At 42.2% G+C, this 24,253-nt stretch overlaps 4 annotated features.

Moving 5' to 3' along the window:
* Positions 1,676 to 2,176: an enhancer, noted in NCBI's record as "H3K27ac hESC enhancer chr6:131613147-131613647 (GRCh37/hg19 assembly coordinates)". NCBI's record gives its function as "activates a minimal SCP1, AML or CMV promoter by ChIP-STARR-seq in primed H9 embryonic stem cells {active_cell/tissue: H9 hESC(primed)}" and the evidence as "EXISTENCE:reporter gene assay evidence [ECO:0000049][PMID:30033119]".
* Positions 4,702 to 5,382: an enhancer, noted in NCBI's record as "OCT4-NANOG-H3K27ac hESC enhancer chr6:131616173-131616853 (GRCh37/hg19 assembly coordinates)". NCBI's record gives its function as "activates a minimal SCP1, AML or CMV promoter by ChIP-STARR-seq in naive H9 embryonic stem cells {active_cell/tissue: H9 hESC(naive)}" and the evidence as "EXISTENCE:reporter gene assay evidence [ECO:0000049][PMID:30033119]".
* Positions 10,064 to 10,571: an enhancer, noted in NCBI's record as "OCT4-NANOG-H3K27ac hESC enhancer chr6:131621535-131622042 (GRCh37/hg19 assembly coordinates)". NCBI's record gives its function as "activates a minimal SCP1, AML or CMV promoter by ChIP-STARR-seq in primed H9 embryonic stem cells {active_cell/tissue: H9 hESC(primed)}" and the evidence as "EXISTENCE:reporter gene assay evidence [ECO:0000049][PMID:30033119]".
* Positions 10,572 to 11,080: an enhancer, noted in NCBI's record as "OCT4-NANOG-H3K27ac hESC enhancer chr6:131622043-131622551 (GRCh37/hg19 assembly coordinates)". NCBI's record gives its function as "activates a minimal SCP1, AML or CMV promoter by ChIP-STARR-seq in primed H9 embryonic stem cells {active_cell/tissue: H9 hESC(primed)}" and the evidence as "EXISTENCE:reporter gene assay evidence [ECO:0000049][PMID:30033119]".

Raw genomic sequence — 24,253 nt, forward strand, 5'->3', positions numbered from 1 at the left:
ATACTCTAGACCTAACTGCAATAAAACAACACACAGTTGTTGCTTGGTATTTTGGGGGGATTAGTTCCAGGACCTCCCCAGGATACCAAAATATGTGGATGTTCAAGTCCCTAACATAAAATGGTGCAGTACTAGCATAAAACCTATGTTCATTCTACCCATATATTTTAAATCACTAGATTACTTATAATACCTAATAAAATGTAAAGGCTATAAATGGATACTGTATTGGTCTTTTATTTGTATTAACTTTTTTTGTTTTTTCCCCTCCAACTATTTTTGATCATTGGTTGGTTGAATCATTCATGTGGAACTCTTGGATTCCAACCAATGGTAAATAGGGATGTTTATGCCTGAGGTAGATTGGATTATTGTTCCCAATTCTTTATCCCTGTGTGTATCCTTTTCCATGTGACTGCCTTTTCCATGTAATTTACAGTTAATCTCACCAAAGGCAGAGCACAGTTAACCCTTGAACAATACAGGCTTGAACTGTGCAGGTCCACTTATATACAAATTTTTTTCGACCAAATGCAGATAAAGAATACAGTCTTCTTGGGATGTGAAACTTGAGTATGCAAGGGCCGACTTGTCCTATATCTAGGTTCAGCAGGGCCAGCTGTGGGACTTGATTATGCACAGATTTGCGTATACTCAGATGGTCCTGGAACTAATCCCCCATGTATACCAAGGGATAACTATATATCTTTGCCCTGTTGATGTTGGGCTTGGCCATGTGACTGGCTTTGGCTAATGGGATATTAGTGGACATGAAGCAAGTAAAGACTTGAAGTACAGAGACATGTGACACAGATCTGAATCACGCCTGCAGCCAGGAGCCAGGCCCTACCACGTGCATTGTCACTAGCAGACCTGCCCCTGAGGACATGTGAGTGAGAGGGAAATGATGGTTGGTTGTTATGTAGCATTACTGTGGCAAAACTGAGTAGGGCAGGACCTAAAAGTCAAACACGACAGCAAATGTGAGCAAAGTTATACTTAAAAAAAAAAAAAAAAAAAAAAGGCCATAACATCCATTGAGTACATATCATTTTTTGGTCATAAAAATTTAGTATTATATAATTTAGCTTAGTATTTTTGTTTTTAAGTAACATATGCTTATATGCATATAAAATGTTAACAGTGATGATTTCTGAGTGGTAGGATTACAGGTGAGTTTGCTTCCTAATTTATGCATTTCAGGATTTTCAAAATGTCACATAATAAATACTGTTATAAATCAAATTGCAAATGCCATTTTCAAAATAAAATGAATATAGCCAGATATTAGACAATTCATTGCATCTCAGCCATAAATAAGTACTGCATGAAGAGTGCATCACTCAGAAACAGAGTCCACTCATTGCATTTATTATTTACTATGGGTCAGATACTGGGCTAGGTGCTTAGTATGCAAAAGACCCATCTGTCAGAATGATACATGGCATATTGATGTAGATGTATTTATTATTTTCTCTGTAATCTCTGCTTGCCCCATCACTTCTCTAATTTCAAATAAGACCTTGCTTTTGCGAGAGACTAACCAAAATAGAGAGAGCAAAGAGGCTGAGTTTCATATATTTTGGCTCTTGAGCTCCCAATGGCCAACTTTTGGTATGATCATCAGTTTGCAATGTAACAAGATGTTGGGATTGGGCTCTGCTTCCACTGAAGCATCAGCGAGCTAGATACAGAACACGGATGTGTGTATGAGACAGACCCTTTGCCACAGTTACATGAAAGAGGGAGTGACACCCAGATGCCTCAGTGAGGTCAAGAACACAAGAAAGGGGTAAAAGAGAATTTTGTGAGGAGGCTGTATTTGGAGCAAGCTGTGCTTTATACCTTACCTTCTCCATGGTGGGGAGTGTCTGCTGAGAACTGCAAAATTCTCAGCAGGAAGGAATCCATCCAAATCTGCACTAGGGGACTTGCTCAAACTCTGCCATAGCTTCTGGCAGCCTAAGGCTATGTCCCTAAGATAACTCCTCCCCTCCCCCACTTTGAGTTTCCATAGGGAAAAGGCCAAGGCTGTGAAAAGAATTTACTATTTGTTCTAGCCAACAGCTGACCATGGGCCCTTGACCTGCCTTTCTTAGCACACTTACTTTTAAAAAGCTTAGAACTGTAAAGCCTTCCTCAGTCCCTTTGAGAAGTATTATAAATCTGCTACAACAGAAGACACCTTTGTCAAGGACCTGAAAGTCATTCCTTTGAAATGTAATCATCAGAAACGATAGGATTTTTGTCTTCCTGTCCCTTTGGGAGGGCAGAAGCCCCAATTCCATAAATGCCAGTTAGCAGACACAGATGGCCTAACACATTTATTTTGAATTAACTCTCTTTCTGGCTTTTTGTATTTTTCACTGCCCTAACTCCACTGAAGGCCCTGCCTCTTCCCCTCCCTACTTCCTGATTGTCTATTTAAAACACCTAGGCACTTGTGTGTAAAGTGAAACGGAGCTCAGCTCTTTCCTGAATAAAACCTGTGGAGGGGAAAGGAAACATCTTTTCTTCCCATCACTAGGCTCAAGGCTTAGGCATCTGTAACAAAAGACAGCCTAACAGGAGAAAAGCATACAAATGTATTCAATGTAAGTTTTACATGACATAGGAGCCTTCAGAAATGAAGACCCAAAGAAACAGGGAAACCTGTGTATTTTTATGTTAGATTTGATGGAGACGTGGAACACTGAGGAAAAGTATGATTGGACAAAAAAGGTCTGATGGAATGGTGATTAGCTGGAGGAAACTTAGCAAGGCCTGCTTGTTCAGATTTTTCCTGTGTCCCTATGTCTTCAGAGACAAGGACATTTTTTTCTAGGATGGGGAGGATACATCTCCAATGAGGATCTCATGACCTACTTCAGAGGAAGTTCAGAAGAATTCTTTCATGCCCGCTTCAGGGGAGAAGCATGGGAGAAGGTCACAAAGACTCTTTTACTGCAGTTTTCTCAAATGTCAAAGCACTACCTTTTGGGATAGTATGCCCTGAAGCCCATCACCTGCTTTTCCCACTTTCATCAATGCTAAGCCTTGCTTATCTCTGACACTTCCTCCTTACCTCAAGCTTCATGGATGGAGGCTTTAAGGACCACACGGAGAACCTGGGACTGTATTTCCTGTGATTGAGGATGCAGAGGACTGATATCTGAGGCCTGGGAGACAGCCAAGGGGAATGGTGGTGGCTGCACTCCCACCTGCGGATCTAGAGGGAGTGAAAATGTGGCCTCAGGCCTGCGTGGATGCTACTGCATGGGGCCCTGCCCACAGCCCAGAGTGGACAACTCTCCCTCATGGGGAAGAGGGGAGGCTGGCTGGCAGGGGCATGGCAGAGGCCTGAGAAGGTCTCACCCAGAAGAGTGGGAGGCCTGAGGAGGTACTGCACAGGCCCCTAGTAGCAGAGGCATATCCTCTGGGGTCAAGTGTGTGAAAGGAAAATCAAAACTCGGGTCCCCAATTCACTCTGCCAAAAGGAAAAACAATTAAGCTGAAAGCTGAGTCATGCAAAAAGCTCTTTCCTTGTTTCCAAACAGACAGCTACAGATAAAAGGTTAAATATCTCCACAGGTAGCTACTCTAGGTTCACCTTATCTTATGTAAAGTGCCGATTTACTGAGCATGAAACAAATACATAACTTTTTTTTTTTTTTTTTTTTTTTTTTTTGAGAGGGAGTCTCCCTCTGTCGCCCAGGCTGGAGTGCAGTGGCAGGATCTAGGCTCACTGCAACCTCCGCCTCCTGGGGTCAAGTGATTCTCCTCCCTCAGCCTGCCTAGTAGCTGGGATTACAGGCGTATGTCACCACGCCAGGCTTATTTTTGTATTTTTAGTAGAGACAGGGTTTCACCATGTTGGCCAGGCTAGCCTTGAACTCCTGACCTCAGGTGATCTGCCTGCCTTGGCCTCCCAAAGTGCTGGGATTACAGGCGTGAGCCACTGCGGCCGGCCGACAACTACATAATTGACTCTTCCCCTACCTGCTCCCTTTCTCTTGCAACACGTGGATTGAGTCACATGACCATACCTTCCCTCTTTCTCCTGCAGCCGGCTTTTCTCCTTTAAATACTGAAGCCCTCAAAATCGTCTTTGGAGAAAGACACAGACCTGTCTTCAGGTCATTGCCTTAACCTTGGCAAAATAAACTTCTAAATGGATTGAGACCTGTCTCAGATACTTTTTGGTTTACAAGGGCGAGCTCACAAGGCTTTAGCGGACCTCTGGGAGCGTGCACAAAGAAGGGACGCTTGAATTGCTTGTTTTCTCAAGAAGTGTCAGGTCTGAGAGCCTGAAGCTACCCAGCCAAGTACTCCTCACGTCTCCTCCCTGCCTTACAGGGAGGGGATTCAGCGTTGGTTTTGACTGTCACCAGGACTGGACATCCTGATGACCGAAAAAGCAGATGGCGTTTGTGACTATATATACATAATACAACAGAGAAAGCCAAAAATCCAAGGAACTGCAAGAATTTTTATCCGGGTGAAGATTATCCTGACAGAGAAAAGTTAGGTGAGGAAGACAAAAACAAAGCTGTATTTGGATAATGTCACGAGTCCTGTTTGTTCAACACACTGGACACAGCAAGACGACTGACTGAATTAGCCTCCCATGGCCTCTGCCCAGGCTGGATAAGAACCTCAAACCTAGGAGGGAGTGGAGGAGACGGAGCTTGGAGAGGTGAGTTAGGCATGGGGGGAGGGCTGTGTCTCCCATGCCTCCTCTGACTTGCTCTAGGGAGTTGGCTGGAGGCGAAAGTAGAACTCTCCGCCCTCCTTAAAGTTTGGGAAACCTGAGAGTGGAGAGATCTTTTGCCTCGTTGCTGGTGGAAGTGAGACAGCCAGGTGGGAAGGGCTCCCTGGCAGAACCTCTGATGGCCTGCGCACCATGGGGAATGCGCTCTGATGTGGAGCCCTGGGAAGTTCACGCCCTTTGCAGCGGGGAGGAGCCTGGCATCTCTCTCCTGTTCCGGGGTGTGGTACCTGGGATTGCATCTGCGAGGTGGGAAGTGCACTAGCAGGGACTCTGGCTGTCAGGCCTCTGAGCCCAAGCCCAGCCATCGCATCCCCTGTGACTTGCACATATATGCCCAGATGGCCTGAAGTAACTGAAGAATCACAAAAGAAGTGAATATGCCCTGCCGCACCTTAACTGATGACATTCCACCACAAAAGAAGTGTAAACGGCCGGTCCTTGTCTTAAGTGATGACATTACCTTGTGAAAGTCCTTTTCCGAGCTCATCCTGGCTCAAAAAGCACCCCCACTGAGCACCTTGGGACCCCCGCCCCTGCCCACCAGAGAACAACCCCCTTTGACTGTAATTTTCCTTTACCTTCCCAAATCCTATAAAACGGCCGCACCCCTATCTCCCTTGGCTGACTCTCATTTCGGACTCAGCCCGCCTGCACCCAGGTGAAATAAACAGCCATGTTGCTCACACAAAGCCTGTTTGGTGGTCTCTTCACACGGACACGCATGAAATTTGGTGCCATGACTCGAATTGGGGGACCTCCCTTGGGAGATCAATCCCCTGTACTGCTGTTCTTTGCTCCATGAGAAAGATCCACCTACGACCTCAGGTCCTCAGACCGACCAGCCCAAGGAACATCTCACCAATTTTAAATCAGGTTAGCGGCCTCTTCTTACTCTCTTCTCCAGCCTCTCTCTGTCCCTCAACCACACTTTCTCCTTTCCACTCTTCAATCTCTCCCTTCTCTTAATTTCAATTCCTTTCATTTTCTGAGACAGACAAAGGAGACACGTTTTATCCGTGGACACAAAACTCTGGCGCCGGTCACGGACTGGGAAGGCAGCTTTCCCTTGGTGTTTAATCATTGCAGGGACACCTCTCTGATTATACACCCACGTTTCAAGGGTGTCAGACCACGCAGGGACGCCTGCCTTGGTCCTTCACCCTTAGCGGCAAGTCCCACTTTTCTGGGGAAGGTGCAAGTACCTCAACCCCTTCTCTCCTTGTCCCTACCCATTCTCTGCTTTTCCGGGGACAGGGCAAGTACCCCAACCCCTTCTCTCCTTGTCTCTACCCTTCTCTGCTTTTCTGGGAGAGGGGCAAGTACCTCAACCCCTTCTCTCCGTGTCTCTACCCCTTCTCTGCTTTCCTGGGGCAGGGGTAAGTACCCCTCAACCCCTTCTCCTTCACCCTTAGCGGCAAATCCCACTTTCCTAGGGGGAAAGAACCCCCCAATCGCTTATTTCCGCACCCCAACCTCTTATCTCTGCACCCCAATACCTTATTTCCGCACCCTGACCTCTTATCTCTGTGCCTCAATCCCTTATTTCCGTGCCCCAACCCCTTCTCTGCTTTTCTGGAGGGCAGGAACCCCTCACCCCTTCTCCGTGTCTCTACTCTTTTCTCTGGGCTTGCCTCCTTCACTATAGGTAAGCTTCCACCTTCCATTCCTCCTTCTTCTCCCTTGGCCTGTGTTCTCAAAAACTTAAAATCTCTTCAACTCACACCTGACCTAAAACCTAAATGCCTTATTTTCTTCTGCAATGCCGCTTGACCCCAATACAAACTCGACAGTAGTTCCAAATAGCCAGAAAATGGCACTTTCAATTTTTCCATCCTACAAGATCTAAATAATTCTTGTCATAAAATGGGCAAATGGTCTGAGGTGCCTGACGTCCAGGCATTCTTTTACACATCAGTCCCTTCCTAGTCTCTGTGTCCAGTGCAACTCATCCCAAATCTTCCTTCTTTCCATTCTGCCTGTCCCCTTAGTCCCAACCCCAAGCGTCACTGAGTCTTTCTAATCTTCCTTTTCTACAGACCCATCTGACCTCTTCCCTCCTCGCCAGCCCAAGCTACGTCCCAATTCTTCCTCAGCCTCCGCTCCTCCACCCTATAATCTTTTTATCACCTCCCCTCCTCACACCTGGTCCGGCTTACAGTTTCGTTCCGTGACTAGCCCTCCCCCACCTGCCCAGCAATTTACTCTTAAAAAGGTGGCTGGAGCCAAAGACATAGTCAAGGTTAATGCTCCTTTTTCTTTATCCCAAATCAGATAGCATTTAGGCTTTTTCATCAAATATAAAAACCCAGCCCAGTTAATGGCTCGTTCGGCAGCAACCCTGAGACACTTTACAGCCCTAGACCCTAAAAGGTCAAAAGGCCGTCTTATTCTCAAAATACATTTTATTACCCAATCTGCTCCCAACATCAAATAAAACACCAAAAATTAAATTCTGGCCCTCAAACCCCACAACAGGATTTAATTAACCTCATCTTCAAGGTGTACAATAACAGAAAAAAGTTGCAATTCCTTGCCTCCACTGTGAGACAAACCCCAGCCACATCTCCAGCACACAAGAACTTCCAAATGCCTGACCCACAGCGGCCAGGCATTCCTCCAGAACCTCCTCCCCCAGGAGCTTGCTACATGTGCCGGAAATCTGGCCACTGGGCCAAGGAATGCCCGCAGCCCGGGATTCCTCCTAAGCCGCGTCCCCTCTGTGTGGGACCCCACTGAAAATCGGACTGTTCAACTCACCTGACAGCCACTCCCAGAGCCCCTGGAACTCTGGCCCAAGGCTCTCTGACTCCTTCCCAGATCTTCTCAGCTTAGCGGCTGAAGACTGACACTGCCCGATCCCCTCGGAAGCCCCCTAAACCATCATGGACGCCGAGCTTGGGGTAACTCTCACAGTGGAAGGTAAGCCCGTCCCCTTCTTAATCAATACGGAGGCTACCCACTCCATATTACCTTCTTTTCAAGGGCCTGTTTCCCTTGCCTCCATAACTGTTGTGGGTATTCACGGCCAGGCTTCTAAACCTCTTGAAACTCCCCAACTCTGGTGCTAACTTGGACAATACTCTTTTAAGCACTCCTTTTTAGTTATCCCCACCTGCCCAGTTCCCTTATTAGGCTGAGACACTTTAAATTATCTGCTTCCCTGACTATTCCTAGACTACAGCTATATCTCATGGCCGCCCTTTTTCCCAATCCAAAGCCTCCTTTGCGTCCTCCTCTTGTATCCCCCCACCTTAACCCACAAGTATAAGATACCTCTACTCCCTCCTTGGAGACCGATCATGCACCCCTTACCATCTCATTAAAACCTAATCACCCTTACCCCACTCAACACCAATATCCCATCCCACAGCAGGCTTTAAAAAGATTAAAGCCTGTTATCACTCGCCTGCTACAGCATGGTGTTTTAAAGCCTATAAACTCTCCTTATAATTCCCCCATTTTACCTGTCCTAAAACCAGACAAGCCTTACAATTTAGTTCAGGATCTGCACCTTATCAACCAAATTGTTTTGCCTATCCACCCCGTGGTGCCAAACCCATATACTCTCCTATCCTCAATACCTGCCTCTACAACCCATTATTCTGTTCTGGATCTCAAACATGCTTTCTTTACTATTCCTTTGCATCCTTAATCCCAGCCTCTCTTCGCTTTCACTTGGACTGACCCTGACACCCATCAAGCTCAGCAAATTACCTAGGCTGCACTGCCGCAAAGCTTCACAAACAGCCCCCATTACTTCAATCAAGCCCAAATTTCTTCCTCATCTGTTACCTATCTCGGCATAATTCTCATAAAAACACATGTGCTCTCCCTGCCAATCGTGTCCAACTGATCTCTCAAACCCCAGCACCTTCTACAAAACCACAACTCCTTTCCATCCTAAGCATGGTTAGCTCGGTCAGAATTCTTACACAAGAGCCAGGACCACACCCTGTAGCCTTTCTGTCCAAACAACTTGACCTTACTGTTTTAGCCTAGCCCTCATGTCTGCGTGCAGCAGCTGCCACTGCTTTAATACTTTTAGAGGCCCTCAAAATCACAAACTGTGTTCAACTCACTCTCTGCAGTTCTCATAACTTCCAAAATCTATTTTCTTCCTCATACCTGACGCATATACTTTCTGCTTCCCGGCTCCTTCAGCTGTACTCACTGTTTGTTGAGTCTCCCACAATTACCATTGTTCCTGGCCCATACTTCAATCCAGCCTCCCACATTATTCCTGATACCACACCTGACCCCCATGACCGTATCTCTCTGATCCACCTGACATTCACATTTCCCCAAATTTCCTTCTTTCCTGTTCCTCACCCTGATCACGCTTGATTTATTGATGGCGGTTCCACCAGGCCTAATCGCCACACACCAGCAAAGGCAGGTTATGCTATAGTACAAGCCACTAGCCCGCCTCTTAGAACCTCTCATTTCCTTTCCATTGTGGAAATCTATCCTCAAGGAAATAACTTCTCAGTGTTCCATCTGCTATTCTACTACTCCTCAGGGATTATTCAGGCCCCCTCCCTTCCCTACACATCAAGCTCGAGGATTTGCCCCACCCAGGACTGGCAAATTAGCTTTACTCAACATGCCCCGAGTCGGATAACTAAAATACCTCTTAGTCTAGGTAGACACTTTCACTGGATAGGTAGAGGCCTTTCCTACAGGGTCTGAGAAGGCCACCACAGTCATTTCTACCCTTCTGTCAGACATAATTCCTCAGTTTAGCCTTCCCATCTCAATACAGTCTGATAACAGACCAGCCTTTATTAGTCAAATCAGCCAGCAGTTTTTCAGGCTCTTAGTATTCAGTGAAACCTTTATATCCCTCACGGTCCTGCGTCTTCAAGAAAAGTAGAATAGACTAAAGGTCTTTTAAAAACACACCTCACCAAGCTCAGCCACCAACTTAAAAAGGACTGGACAATACTTTTACCACTTTCCCTTCTCAGAATTCAGGCCTGTCCTCAGAATGCTACAGGGTACAGCCCATTTAAGCTCCTGTATAGACGCTCCTTTTTATTAGGCCCCAGTCTCATTCCAGACACCAGACCGACTTTGACTGTGCCCCAAAAAAAATTGTCATCCCTACTATCTTCTGTCTAGTCATACTCCTATTCACCGTTCTCAACTACTCATACATGCCTTGCTCTTGTTTACACTGCCGGTTTACACTGTTTCTCCAAGCCATCACAGCTGATATCTCCTCCTGCTATCCCCAAACTGCCACTCTTAACTCTTGAAGTAAATAAATAATCTTTGCTGGCAGGACTATGCTGAATCTCCTTAGGCACTCTCTAATCAGATATCCTGAGTCATCCCAATTCTTAGAACTTTTATACCTGTTTTTCTCCTTCTGTTATTCCATTTAGTTTTTCAATTCATCCAAAACCGTATCCAGGCCATCACCAATCATTCTATACGACAAATGTTTCTTCTAACATCCCCACAATATCACCCCTTACCACAAGACCTCCCTTCAGCTTAATCTCTCCCACTCTAGGTTCCCACACTGCCCCTAATCCCGCTTGAAGCAGCTCTGACAAACATCGCCCATTCTCTCTCCATACCACTCCCTAAAAATTTTCGCTGCCCCAACACTTCAACACTATTTTGTTTTATTTTTCTTATTAATGTAAGAAGTCAGGAATGTCAGGCCTCTGAGCCCAAGCCAAGCCATCGCATCCCCTGTGACTTGCACGTATAAGCCCCGATGGCCTGAAGTAACTGAAGAATCACAAAAGAAGTGAATATGCCCTGCCCCACCTTAACTGATGACATTCCACCACAAAAGAAGTGTAAATGGCCGTTCCTTGCCTTAAGTGATGACATTACCTTGTGAAAGTCCTTTTCCTAGCTCATCCTGGCTCAAAAAGCTCCCCCACTGAGCACCTTGGGACCCTTGCCCCTGCCCACCAGAGAACAACCCCCTTTGACTGTAATTTTCCTTTACCTTCCCAAATCCTATAAAATGGCCCCACCCCTATCTCCCTTGGCTGACTCTCATTTCGGACTCAGCCCGCCTGCATCCAGGTGAAATAAACAGCCATGTTGCTCACACAAAGCCTGTTTGGTGGTCTCTTCACACGGACGCGCATGAAACCGGCCTTGCAGAGAGTCCCTGTTTCCCTCTTTTCCTTTTCACCCAAGAAACGCTGCCCTTCTCACCCTTCAAATAGTGTGCGAGCCTAATTTTTTGTGGTCGTGTGATGAGGACCCCATCTTTAGTTGAACTAAGGAAAGTGTCTTACAACAGAAGTGCCAGAGAGGTGGCCAGCTTGGTATAGAAGTGACCCTTGCTGCTATCCTGGAGGTCAGCTGTAACAGCGGAAGGGGTGGTGGGGCTTGTTGGGGCTTGAGAAGGCTGAAGACAGCCTGTGCCACACTGCCTGCTGTGATTTCTGAGGACCCAGAGTGCCATGAGAGATGATCTCCATCAATCACAGAATAGGCAAAAAACATAGTTTCCAGAAAGAGAAAAAAAATGGACCCAAACCACATATAAAGAGGTAGACCTCAGGCCGGGCATGGTGGCTCATGCCTGTAATCCCAGTACTTTGGGAGGCCGAGGTGGGCAGAGTCAGGAGTTTGAGACCAGCCTGATTAACATGGTGAAACCCTTTCTCTACTAAAAATACAAAAATTAGCCGGGTGTAGTGGTGGGTGCCTGTAATCCCAGCTACTCGGGAGGCTGAGGAAGGAGAATCGCTTGAACCTGGGAGGCGGAGGTTGCACTGAGCCGAGATGGTGCCATTGCACTCCAGCCTGGGCAACAGAGGGAGGCTCCATCTAAAATAAAAATAAAAATAAAAAAAGGTATATAGACTTCACTAATAATTAAATAAAAGAAGTTAAAGCAATAATGAGGTAGCTTTTAAAAAACCTGTCAGAGCAGTAAAGATTTAAAAGTTTAATAATACATGAGCTTGGTGCAGGTGTGTGAAGCAGGAGCTGTCACATCATTTTGGTAGTGTGATGGTTAATACTGAGTGTCAACTTGATTGGACTGAAGGGTGCAAAGTATTGTTCCTGTGTGTGTCTGTGATGGTGTTGCCAAAGGAGAGTAACATTTGAGTCAGTGGGCTGGGGAAGGCAGACCCACCCTTAATCTGGTGGTCACAGTCTAATCAGCTGCCAGCGTATATAAGGCAGGCAGAAAAAATGTGAAAAGGCGAGACTGACCTAGCCTCCCAGCCTATATCTTTCTCCCATGCTGGATGATTCCTGGCCTCGAACATCAGACTCCAAGTTCTTCAGTTTTGGAACTCAGACTGGCTCTCTTTGCTCCTCAAGTTTGCAGACAGCCTATTGTGGGAACTTGTTATTGTGTAAGTTAATACTTAGTAAACTGCCCCCTTTTTTTTGAGATGGAGTCTCGCTCTTGTTGCCCAGGCTGGAGTGCAATAGCATGATCTCACCTCACTGCAACCTCCACCTCCCGGGTTCAAGCAATTCTCCTGCCTCAGCCTCCCATGTAGCTGGGATTACAGGCGCCTGCCACCATGCCTGGCTAATTTTTTGTACTTTTAATAGAGATGGGGTTTCACCATGTTGGCCAGGCTGGTCTGGAACTCCTGACTTCAGGTGATCTGCCTGCCTCAGCCTCCCAAAGTGCTAGTATTACAGGTGTGAGCTACCGCACCCGGCCTAAACTTCCCTTTACACATTTATATATCCTATTAGTTCTGTCCCTCTAGATAACCCTGACTAATACAGGTAGAAATTGGAATTTATACCATATTTTGGGAGAAGAATTTGGTGAAATCTATGATGAAGGTGTTGACCCAGCAATTAATTCCATTTCAAAAAAATTTGCAATGGGTATATTTGCATGTGTTTGCAGAAACGTAAGTACAAGGATTTTCACTGCACCATAGTTTATGATGGCAACAATGACAAAAGAAGAAAACAACTTATACTCAAGCAATAAAGGTTTGATTAATAAATTATGGTACGTACCAATTATACTGCTGTTAAAAAGAATGACGTGGATATAGTTATTTTGAAATACAAAGATCAATAAGCATATAAAGCAAAATGCAAAGCACAAGATCATAGGAATAATATGCTTCTATTCATAAGGGTGTTTCAGAAAGGTGTTATGTGTATAGAGTATGTATATACAGGGAAAGTTCTGGAAGGATACCCAAGAAATCATTGAAGATGCTTCCTCTAGAGAATATAACTGAGGATCTGGAAGAAAAATCAGATTCACTTTTCATTAGCGCATGCTGGGAAATGTAAGCAAAGTCTCCAGGGAGGAGTCTCAGATCATGGGACTCAGTCAATGTCAGGGCCTAGGGAACTGAAAACAGAGGTTAGAACAGGGAAGCCTTCAAGAAAAGTTCAGTCTCTGATATAGAGGACAGAGTCACCAAGATGGAGAAAGACAAGATAGCAGGGGATGAAGGACAGCTGAGAAGAGGTAGGAATACACTGTTCTCAAGGATAGAGATGCTATATTAAGCACTAAGAGCCAGTTGTGACAAATGTCCAGAAATCCTTAATGAGCGATCCCAAGACACACAATGAGAAGATTGTTTCTCCCCAGATAGGATTTGGATTTGTGTCTCCACCCAAATCTCATGCGGAATTGTAATCCCCAGTGTTGGAGGAGGGGCCTGATGGGAGGTGATTGCATCCTGAGGGCGGATATCCCCTTTGCTGTTCTCATGCTACTGAGTGAGTTCTCATGAGATCTGCTTATTTAAAAGTATGGAGCACCTCCCCCTTGACTTTATTCCCCCTGCTCCAGCCATGGAGGACGTGCCTGCTTCCCCGTTGCCTTCAGCCATGATTTTAGGTTTCCTGCGGCTTCCCCAGCCATGCTTACTGTACAGCCTGCAGAACTGTGAGTCAATTAAACCTCTTTTCTTTATAAATTACCCAGCCTCGGGTAGTTCTTTATAGCAAGAACTATGCAAAAATGGACTAATACATCCCCCTAAGGTTTATGTTAGGCATTTGCAGTTAGTACAGGGTTTACAGGTCTTAAGGAAGAGATGGTGTTGGATTACTCCCGTTTCCAGAAATGCAACAAAATAGAAAAGGTTTACTCCAGGAAGGGTTTTCAGGTGGAGGCATTAGAATGTTCTGGACATCTGGATCTACAATAAGCTAAAGTGGGAAGTCCTTACTCTCTAATGTTGCCTCTGAGTTTGAAGACAACACTCTATATGGCAATAGTGTGTGTTCAAAAATAAAATACCATTAACAGCTTGAAAATAGCAAAAGGGAAGGAAACCAAAGAGAATGGGGGAAGGAACAGTCTATGAAAGTCTTCTTTAGACTCTATCATCATTGATACCCAGTTACAAGACAAACCACTTCTCAAAAGTGAGCAAATAATAACATTTTCTTACAATTTCGGTTATTCTTTCAAAGAAGAAAGAGGGAAGGAAAAATTAAGGGAATTTGTGGTGTGAGGCACACTTTTTGGCATAGGAGAACAAACATATCTTGTTTTTTATATGCCTTGCTAATTATGTATTTTAAAATAGTGGCCCAAAAGTTAGAGAAATGAAATGAAAGTCAAGAAAATTGGAAAGGTGGAAAATTGGAAATGCTTCACACCAAGCAGTAATTCCTGTAGTTTGAGTTATATTACTTGGTTAAGAAGCTTAGGAAGCTTGGGTGACACTAAAGTAATAATATCGTAATAATGCTGGAAATAATAGTGCAGTAACAATGCTCTAACGATGCTGAAGTAATAATGCTGTAATGATGTGGATTAGCACTGTGGGTGACATGCTGAATATCAGCATCATTATAGCAAGGAAAAGCTTACTGTCGTATTGGTACAAAATAGGCACTCAAGTTTTAAATCAAATCAATGTTTACATTTTCTACGCAATTAAAATGCAATTTTGGGGAGTGTACAATTCTATGAGTTTTTATACATAAATAGATTCTTGTAACTACCATCATAGACAAGATACAGAACGATTTTAGCATCCTGAAGAGAACTTTCCGTCTGTCCTGGTGCATTTAGGCCCTTTCTCCCCCACCCCAACCCGTCTACCTCTTATGTGTCCTCTGTTCCTACATTTTTGCCTTTTCCAAAATGTCACATGAATAGATTCATATAGTATGTGCATATTTGAGGCTGGGTTCTTTTGCTTGCATAATATATCCTTTTTTATTTTTAAAAGAATACTTCTCTTCGCTGACTACAAGACAAGGGAAGAGAGCAGGAAAGACTCAGGGACTGCAGAACTTACACAGATAGCATCTTGACATTCTAAAAGAAATGGAGAAATATATGAGGCATGCCTGCAACACTGTTTTCCTTCATGTAACAAGAGCTTCATCTATTTAAAGCATATGTATTCTGATTTGCCTTTTCTATTTTAAGCATGTTCAAATATATGTCCTCCAGAGGCATGATGGAAGAAAACTCACCTCCCTACAGACTTTCCTGAGTCTTTCGCATATGGAAATGCAATTATTCATATATAATTAAATTTTTTTTGTTAGTTGGGCACTGAGCTTTTTCTCTTGCTAGTGAGATAATCCTTGGCAGCACATTACCTCGTTTGGTGGAAAACTGCTGACCTTCCAAACAGTCACAGGTTTATTCAGCACAGGTTTTTCTGCCTGCACAGCATACAGAGTTGCTGTGTATTGTGAGTTGAGTTGGATCTAGAGGAGGTGAGAAGAGGCATGGCTTGTATTTTGCTGCCTGAGGGACATTTACAGCTTCCATCAATGTGTGTCCACTTCCATTATAAGTAATATATTATCTTTGCACAGAGTTCTACTATTTCACATGCTGCAAACCATTATTTAGGGAGGGAATTAATATTATGCTTTGGAATTCTCACTGAAGTGAACACATTTAGCAGATAAAGGGTTTAATACTTGTTGATAAATAAAAGCAGTGACTACCATTTCCAGCTCTCCTACACACACACACACACGCACACACGTGCACACACACACTTTCACACTCATATGTGTTGTGTAGGGGTTGGGGAGAAGTGGCTTGCAATTTTGGATAGAATAACCAGTTGCAAATTGGTTTGCTGTTGCGTTTTTAATAGTATGCAAATGTGCTGTGGGATGTATAAAATGTACCACTGAACCTAGTTAATACCTAAATGAGAGCTTGCTTGATTTCTTCAAGTGGTTAATATCAAGCTATTTGAATCGATCCAGTTTGCCAATGGGCTCAATTCTGTACTTCCTAGGGGTTTCTTTAAAATGTGTTACAATTCCAAATGGATTTGTTTTCAGTTTTCATTTTCTATTGCATTTCCTTTGAGGTTGACCGTGTTCTTTATTTGCTTATTAAAAACTTCATGTTTGAAATTATGAAATGTTTATGATTAAGAAGAAGACTAGTCCAATAACTAAACAGAGCATTGAAACATATTTCTATCATCACTGTTATGCTGAGCATACTAGAAAACTCTTCACTGGGGCCGGGTGCAGTGGTTCACACCTGTAATCCCAGCACTTTGGGAGGCCGAGGCCGGTGGATCATTTGAGGACAGGAGTTCAAGACCAGCCTGGCCAACATGGTGAAACCCCATCTCTACTAAAAATATAACATAGTGAAACCCCATCTCTATAAAAACACAAAAATTAGCCGGGTGTGTGCCTGTAATGCAAGCTACTTGGGAGGCTGAGGCAGCAGAGTCTCTTGAACCCGGGAGGTGGAGGCTGTAGTGAGCCAAGACCGTGCCACTGCACTCCAGCTTGGGTGGCAGAGACTCCGTCTAAAAAAACCAAACAAACAAAAAAACTCTCCAGTGGTTAGTGTTTCACACTGGAGAAAGAATAAAGTACTGTACTAAAGACTAAAAAATAGTAGACCATTGTCTATACCTCATTGGGCAAATGAAATTGACTATATTTCTATTGGCTGGGAGACCCTCTTTTGCAGTTAGGAATGGTACAATGAAAGATCTGTTTTGAATTCTACATGTTCAGCTGCTGTCCAAACAGCCGTGAATGCTTATTCTTTGTGTGTGCTCTCATTACACCTTCAACATAGTCATAATCATTAATTTAATGCAGCTGCCTTTCCCTCAGGTGTCTTGGAAGACTTCAATGACAAGGACTTTTTTTTTCATTGTATGCAAAGGAGCTCAACCAATATTTGTTTGGCTTTTTTTAAGATGGTGTCTTACTCTGCCGCCCAAGCCGGAGCACAAGGGCACCATTTCGGCTCACTGCAACCTCCAGCTCCCAGGTTCAAGCAATTCTTGTGCCTCAGCCTCCCGAGTAGCTGGAATTATAGGCGAGTGCCATCGTGCCTGGCTAATTTTTTTTATTTTCAGTAGAGATGGGGTTTCGCCAGGCTGGTCTCACACACCTGACCTCAAGTGATCTGCCCTCCTTGGCCTCCCAAAGTGTTGGGATTACAGGCATGAGCCACCACGCCCGGCCTCAATCAATGTTTTTGAAAAAATGTTTATGAATTGAGGGCCATAGCTTTTCTAGACCTAAAAGATAATATATTATAGCACTGGAAATGAAGGTTTGGAGACCCGGTATTCTGTAAAAATAAGCCAGTCATTTCCAGATCATCCCTCCCTATTCCACAGACAAGAATTTCTGAGAGGCCTCATCCAGCATCTCATGCCCTAGCAGCCCAGGCATCACCTTCTGAGAGTCAAATACTCACTTCTCTGCTCTGCCATGCATGCCCCTTTTGGAAGAATGCTGTCCTGAGCAGGGTAGTATTACATGCTCCATCCCCAAAGTAGAAAACCATTGAGGTGACAAAATGGTACTGCCATCCCTTCAGTCCTCACTAGGTAGGGCCATGATTGTTCCTCACAGAAATGGATGGCATTCCCCTCACCTCAGTATTGTGGCATATTTTATCATCTGGACCTCTAAACACATGGCTTAGTCTCAAAATTCCATTCATGAAAAACTACTACAAACTTCCACTTTTGGCCATGATAAGAAAAGCAATGACCAGCCGGGCACGGTGACTCATGCCTGTAATCCCAGCACTTCGGGAGGCTGAGGTGGGCAGATCCCCTGAGGTCAGGAGTTTGAGACCAGCCTGACCAACATGGAGAAACTCTGTCTCTACTAAAAATACAAAAAATTAGCCGGCCATGGTGGCGCATGCCTGTAATCCCAGCTACTTGGGAGGCTGAGGCAGGAGAATTGCTTGAACCTGGGAGGCGGAGGTTGTGGTGAGCCAAGATTGCACCATTGCACTCCAGCCTGGGCAACAAGTACGAAACTCTGCCTCAAAAAAAAAAAAAAAAAAAAAAAAAGAAAAGAAAAGTAAAAGAAAAGCAATGACCAGATATCACTGCCCTCTCTTCCATAAACAACTAGCAAACTGGACAAAATAAATGACACGACCATTTTCAAACATTGGGCAGCAGGCAGCATAAGGTTGTGATCCTTGAGAGAAGAGAAAAAGCCCTAAATGTCTCAGCTTTCAGCCCAAAGGCCAATTCCAGACCGGTAGGGGAGCCCCCAAATCCCTGATGGCATTATTGAGTTGAAGATGGAGATCAAAGTTCAGGGAAGCTGAGATGACTGGAAGTTGTGGGACAGAGTTCCTGAAAAGGGGATGCTAAAGATAAAAAGAGTTCCAGAAATATGTATGAGGGTTGTATTGAGTCTTTGTTAAGTGCTAGGCCACCCATGTGCAGAGTGAAAACCCACAACACAAAGAAAGCCTAGGGTGTCATAAGCAGAAAAATTCCCAGAGCTCACACAGGTCAGGGTGATGTCTAAACTCTGGCCAGGCAACGTGGGGATTCCTGAGACCTCTGAGGTATCCAGCAGAGATTTCAGAGTGATGTTGCCTTAATAATAGATCTAACTAGCTCTCTTTTTTTTTTTTTTTTTTTTGGAAACAGGGTCTCACTCTGTTGCCTAGGCTGGAGAAGTGTTGTGCCATGATCTCGGCTCACTGCAACGTCCTCCGCCTCCTGGGTTCAAGTGATTCTCCTGCCCCAGCCTCCTGAATGCCTGGCTAATTTTTTTTTTGTATGTTTAGTAGAAACGGGGTTTCACCATGTTGACTAGACTGATCTTGAACTCCTGGCTTCAAGTGATCCACCCACCTCAGCCCCCCAAAGTGCTGGGATTACAGGCATGAGCTACCATGCCCAGCCCCTGAACTATCTCTTGAATGAAGGCTACACTAGAATCATTCTAGCAAAGCTTAAAAACAGAACTCAAAGGTATCAAACTGACCTGCTGTCTTTCAAAACAAAGACTGATGCTGTTTTTTAAAAAAGGCAACAAACTCCAGATACTCAACACCCTAATAATACTAAGCTTATCAAAAGATAGGAAATGTGACCCATGACCAGGAGAAAAATTGCCAAGAGAAATGAACCCCAAAATGTCAGAGATCATGATATTAGTAGATAAAATGGTTAGAACAGGAATTATAACTATGTAAAGTGTTTAAAGGAAAACAAAAATAATGAGGAGAAACAAGGAAGATGAAAAGGAATTTCCAGAAATGAAAAATCTAATATCTGAAATGAAATTTTCACTGTATAGGATTTACAGCAGATTAGACACCACAGAAGAAAAGATTAGTGAAATTGAAGACATGGCAGTAAAATCTATCCAAAATGAAATAGAAAGAAAAACAATTGGAGACAAAATGAAAAGAGCCCTAATGACTTTTGGAACTATGTCAAAGAGTCTGACAGATTTAAAATTGGAGTCCAAGAAAGATACGGTGGATGGGTAAGGGACAGAAAATATAATTGGAGAAATAGTTTCTGAAAAATTTCCTAATTTGATGAAAATGTTACATCTCAAAAATCTAAGAAGCTCAACAAATTTCAACAAGGTTAAACATCTGCATATCTGTACCTTCAAACAACCAGGCCCACACCAAGGCATACCCAAATTTCTGAAAACCAGTTACAAAATAAGAGTGACAGCGGACTTCTGGTCAAGCTACACAAGTATCTTTAAAATGCTGAAAAAAATATGTCAATACAAAATTTTATAACCAACAAAAATATTCTTCCAAAATTAAGGCAAAACCAAAAAACCCTTTTCAGAAACTAAACTGAGAAAATTAGTTGCCTGCCGACCTGCGTTATAAGAAATGTTAAATAAAATTCTTCAGGTGAAAGGAAAATGATACAAATTCAGACCTACGCAAGGGAGTAAAGAACATGTAAAATGGCAAATGCCTGGATTTTTAAACATAAAAGTTATTTTTTTCCAGTTAAAAGGTAAATATTATCAAATTGGATTTAAAAAGTAAGGCTCAATTATATATTGTCTATGAGGAGCCTACTTTAATTATAAAGACGTGCATTAAAAGTAAAAGGTTGGGAAAATATATACCATGTGGACACTACATTTAAGAAAGCTAGCATGGCTACTTTGTGACACAAGATAGACTTCAGAAGGAAGGTTGTCATGGATAGGATGGATTATTTCATAATGGAAAAAGGGAACATTCACCCATTAAATACACCCAGTGTATTTAACCTGATTCACTATGCATAAACCCAATAACATACCTTCAAAATACATGAAACAAAAATTGACAGAACTGAATAACACTGTCAACCAACTTGACCTAATTGGTATTTATAGACCATTTTGCCCAAGAACAATGCAATAAACATTCTATTCAAATGCATATGAAGTGTTCACCAAAACAAACCATATTTTATTTTTTGTTATAAGACCATAAAATAAGTCAATAAATTTAAAAGGATTGAAATATTGCAGAGTATGTTCTCTAACCATAGAGAAAATAAGGTAGAAAGAAATAAGAGAAAGCTATCTGGAGAATGCCTAAATATTTGTAAATTAAACCCAGATTTGCAAGTAATTCATATATCAACAAGGGCAATTATAAATTATTTGGAAATGAGTGAAAATAAAAATAGAGTATATTGAAATTTGAGACACAGCTCAAGTACTGAATGGAGGGAAACTTATGGCTTTAAATGTTATAGTAGAAAAAAGAAAGATCTCAAATCAATGATCTAAGCTTCCACCTTAAGAAGCTGAAAAAAGCGAAAGAAATTAAACCCAAAGTATGTAGAAGGAAACAATAAAGATAAGAGCAGAAGTCAGTGAAATAAAAATAGGCACAAAATTGAGAAATTTTGAAAAACAACAAATACTAATCAAGATAATAGAAAGAAGACAAAACTTACCAATACCAGGAGTGAACAAAGGAGAGATCTTTACAAATCTTACAGATATTAAAAGCCTAATAAAGGAAAATTGAAGAAAAGTAAAACTTAGATGAAACGGGCAAATTCCTTGAAAGATACACATTAGCAGCACAGACTTAATAAAAAAGTAGAAAACTGAATAATGTTATACCTATTAATAGAATTAAGTTCATAATTTAAAAACCCTCCCACAAGGAAAACTCCTGGCTCTGATAGCTTCACTATTGAATTCCAACAAATATTTAAAGAAGTCATACCAACCTTATGCAAACTCTTCCAGATAATAGAAGAGAGTAAACATTTTTTTCACTTCATTTTACAAAGCCAGCATAACTCTAACAGCAAAAGAAAAGACAATTCAAGGAAAAAAAAACCAAACTACAGATTGATATTACTCATGAACAGTAACAAAAATAAGTAATAAAAACTTAGCAAATAAAACAATAGCTCTGTGTGTGTGTGTGTCTCTGTGTGTATATCAGGTATGAGCAAGTATGGTTTACATAAGATTGAAAGTTTGATTTAATATTTGAGAAATCAATGTAATTTACCACTTTATCAAAATAAAGGATAAAACCACATGATCATTTCAAGAGATGTAGCATAAACACTTGACAAAATTCAAGAACATTTCATTTTTTAAATATCTCAATAAATTAGGAAAAGCAGGGAACTTTCTGATAAAAAGTGTTGTTTAAAACCTATCATTAATGTCATACTTAATGGCGAAAGACTGAAGGCTTTACCCATAGGATCAAAAATAAGCTAAGAATGCCCATTCTCATAATTTCTATCCAATATTGTACTCGCAGGTCTAGCCAATACAATAAAGCAAGAACAAGAAATTCAAAGAATACAAATGAGAAAGGAATACTTAAAACAGGTTTCATTCACAGGTGACATAATTGTATACAAAGAAATTCCTATAGACTCTTAAAAATTGGTAGAACTAATCTTAGCAAGGTCATAGGATATCAGGTCAGTATACAAAATTCAATTATATCTTAAATGTATTTGCAATGACAATTGAATATTAAAATTTTAAATCATCTACAATAGTATCTAAAAACATGAAAAACAGGAAAAAATGTGTAAGATTGGAAGAGTGAACACTATTAAAACATCACTGAGAGAAATTAAAGAAGTCCTAAATAAATGGAGAGATTTATGTTTATGAATTAGAAGATTCAATATTGTTCAGATGTCAGTTCTCCCCAAATTGATCTATGGGTTCAACGCATCCTTTTGGGTAAAGTTTGCTCTTACTTTAGGCCTGGGGAGAGTTCCCTTTGAGATGGTTTATCCCTATGTTCTGCTGAGTTGGAATGTCAGTTTTCCTGGAGTTTATGCAGCATGTAGAACATGGTATTTTTTGTACTTGTTCTTCCATTAAATTTCACATCCTGGAAACATGTTTGTCTGGATGGGATGTTTTCTTTGGTAGCAAAGGTGACGATATTTCAAAATTAAATTTTGTAAGATTTTCTGGTCTCAAATTAGTTTTCAATAGAAACCACTCCAGAAATGAAAAGGGCATGTGAACTAGTAATAAGTATTTGAGCGCAGCTATTTCAAGTTCATCTGGGGCTGCTGTTACAACTAATTGTCAAAATATACCTTTGTTATTCTTTTTCACAAAACAGTTCCAATAACTGGAGTCTCAATTGGCAGTGGTTGAGCTCATGCTGATCTAAGACTTGGGATATTGTCACTGGAAATATAGTTGACAGCAATTACAGTATCTTTTCTTATTCTTTGTTGCCTTACTTCTCAAAGGGTAGAAAATAGGTCAGAAAAATAGACAAACCCAGGACACCTGTTAGAAATACAGAACCTCAGTCTCCATCACCCTCATCAATTCAATCAGAATCTTTATTTTAACCTGATTTACTGGTGATTCCTATACATATTAAAATTTTAGAAGGGCAGCATATTTATTCTTCTTTAAAACCACTCCCAGCTAATCTGGGCTGGCAGACTTTTTTCTGGAGTAAGAGTGAATTTGTAGAGATGTCACCAATAGTATTGTAATCTCACTGGAACAACTTTTCTTCTTAAACTTATTATGTAAAATCACCAAAAGTTTTATTCACTGTTTTCCTCTGACAAGATAATCATAAAGAATTAGTCTCCATTAGCAAATTATTGATGTTTCACAAGCCTTACATTTGGATTTGACTATGTATAGATACCTTTTTTTTCAACTTTTATTTTAGATTCAGCAGGTACACGTGCAGGTTTGTTACATGGGTATATTGTGTATAAGGTTTAGGATAGGAATTATCCATTTCATCACCCAAGCACAGTACCTAATAATTAGCTTTTCTTTTTCTTTTTTTTTTTTTTTTTTTTGAGATGGGGTCTCACTCTGTCGCCCAGGCTGGAGTGCAGTGGCGCGATCTCAGCTCACTGCAAACTCCGCTTCCTGGGTTCACACCATTCTCCTGCCTCAGCCTCCTGAGTAGCTGGGACTACAGGCGCCCGCCACTGTGCCCAGCTAATTTTTTGTATTTTTAGTGTAGAGACGGGGTTTCACCATGGTCTCGATCTCCTGAGCTCGTGATCCGCCCGCCTCGGCCTCTCAAAGTGCTGGGATTACAGGCGTGAGCCACCGTGCCTGGCTAAATAGTTTTTCAACCCTTGTCCCCTTTCCTGCTTCCCCTTTGTAGTAGTCCCCAGTTCCTACTGTTGCCATCTTTATGTCCATGAGTACCCAATGTTTAGCTCCCACTTATGTGAGAACATGTAGTATTTAGTTTTTTATTACTGCATTAATTTGCTCAGATTTTGTTCCTTTTTATGGCTGCATAGTATTCCATGGTGAATATGTACCACATTTTCTTTATCCAGTCTACCACTGATAGGCACCTAGGTTGATTCCATGTCTTTGCTATTGTGAATAGTACTACAATTAACTTGTGAGTGCATGCGTCTTTTTGGTAGAATGATTTGTTTTCTTTCAGACATATACCTGGTAATGGGACTGCTGGGTCAAATGATAGTTCTAGGTTCTTTGAGAAATCTCCAAACTGCTTTCCACAGTGGCCAAATTAATTTACATTCCCACCAACAGTGTATAAGCATTCCCTTTTCTCCACAGCCTCACCAGCATCTGTTATTTTTCGCTTTTTAGTAATAGCCATTCTGACTGGTGTGAAATGGTATCTCAGTGTGGTTTTGATTTGCATTTCTCTGGTGATTAGTGATGTGGAGTGTTTTTTCATATGTTTGATGGTCACTTGTATGTCTTCTTTTGAGAAATGTCTGTTCATGTCTTTTGCCCATTTTTTGATAGGATTGTTTGGTTTTTGCTTATTCAATTGTTTATGTTCCTTATAGA

The sequence above is a fragment of the Homo sapiens genome, chromosome 6 (assembly GCF_000001405.40).
Source record: "Homo sapiens chromosome 6, GRCh38.p14 Primary Assembly".
NCBI classification, from domain to species: Eukaryota; Metazoa; Chordata; class Mammalia; order Primates; family Hominidae; genus Homo; species Homo sapiens.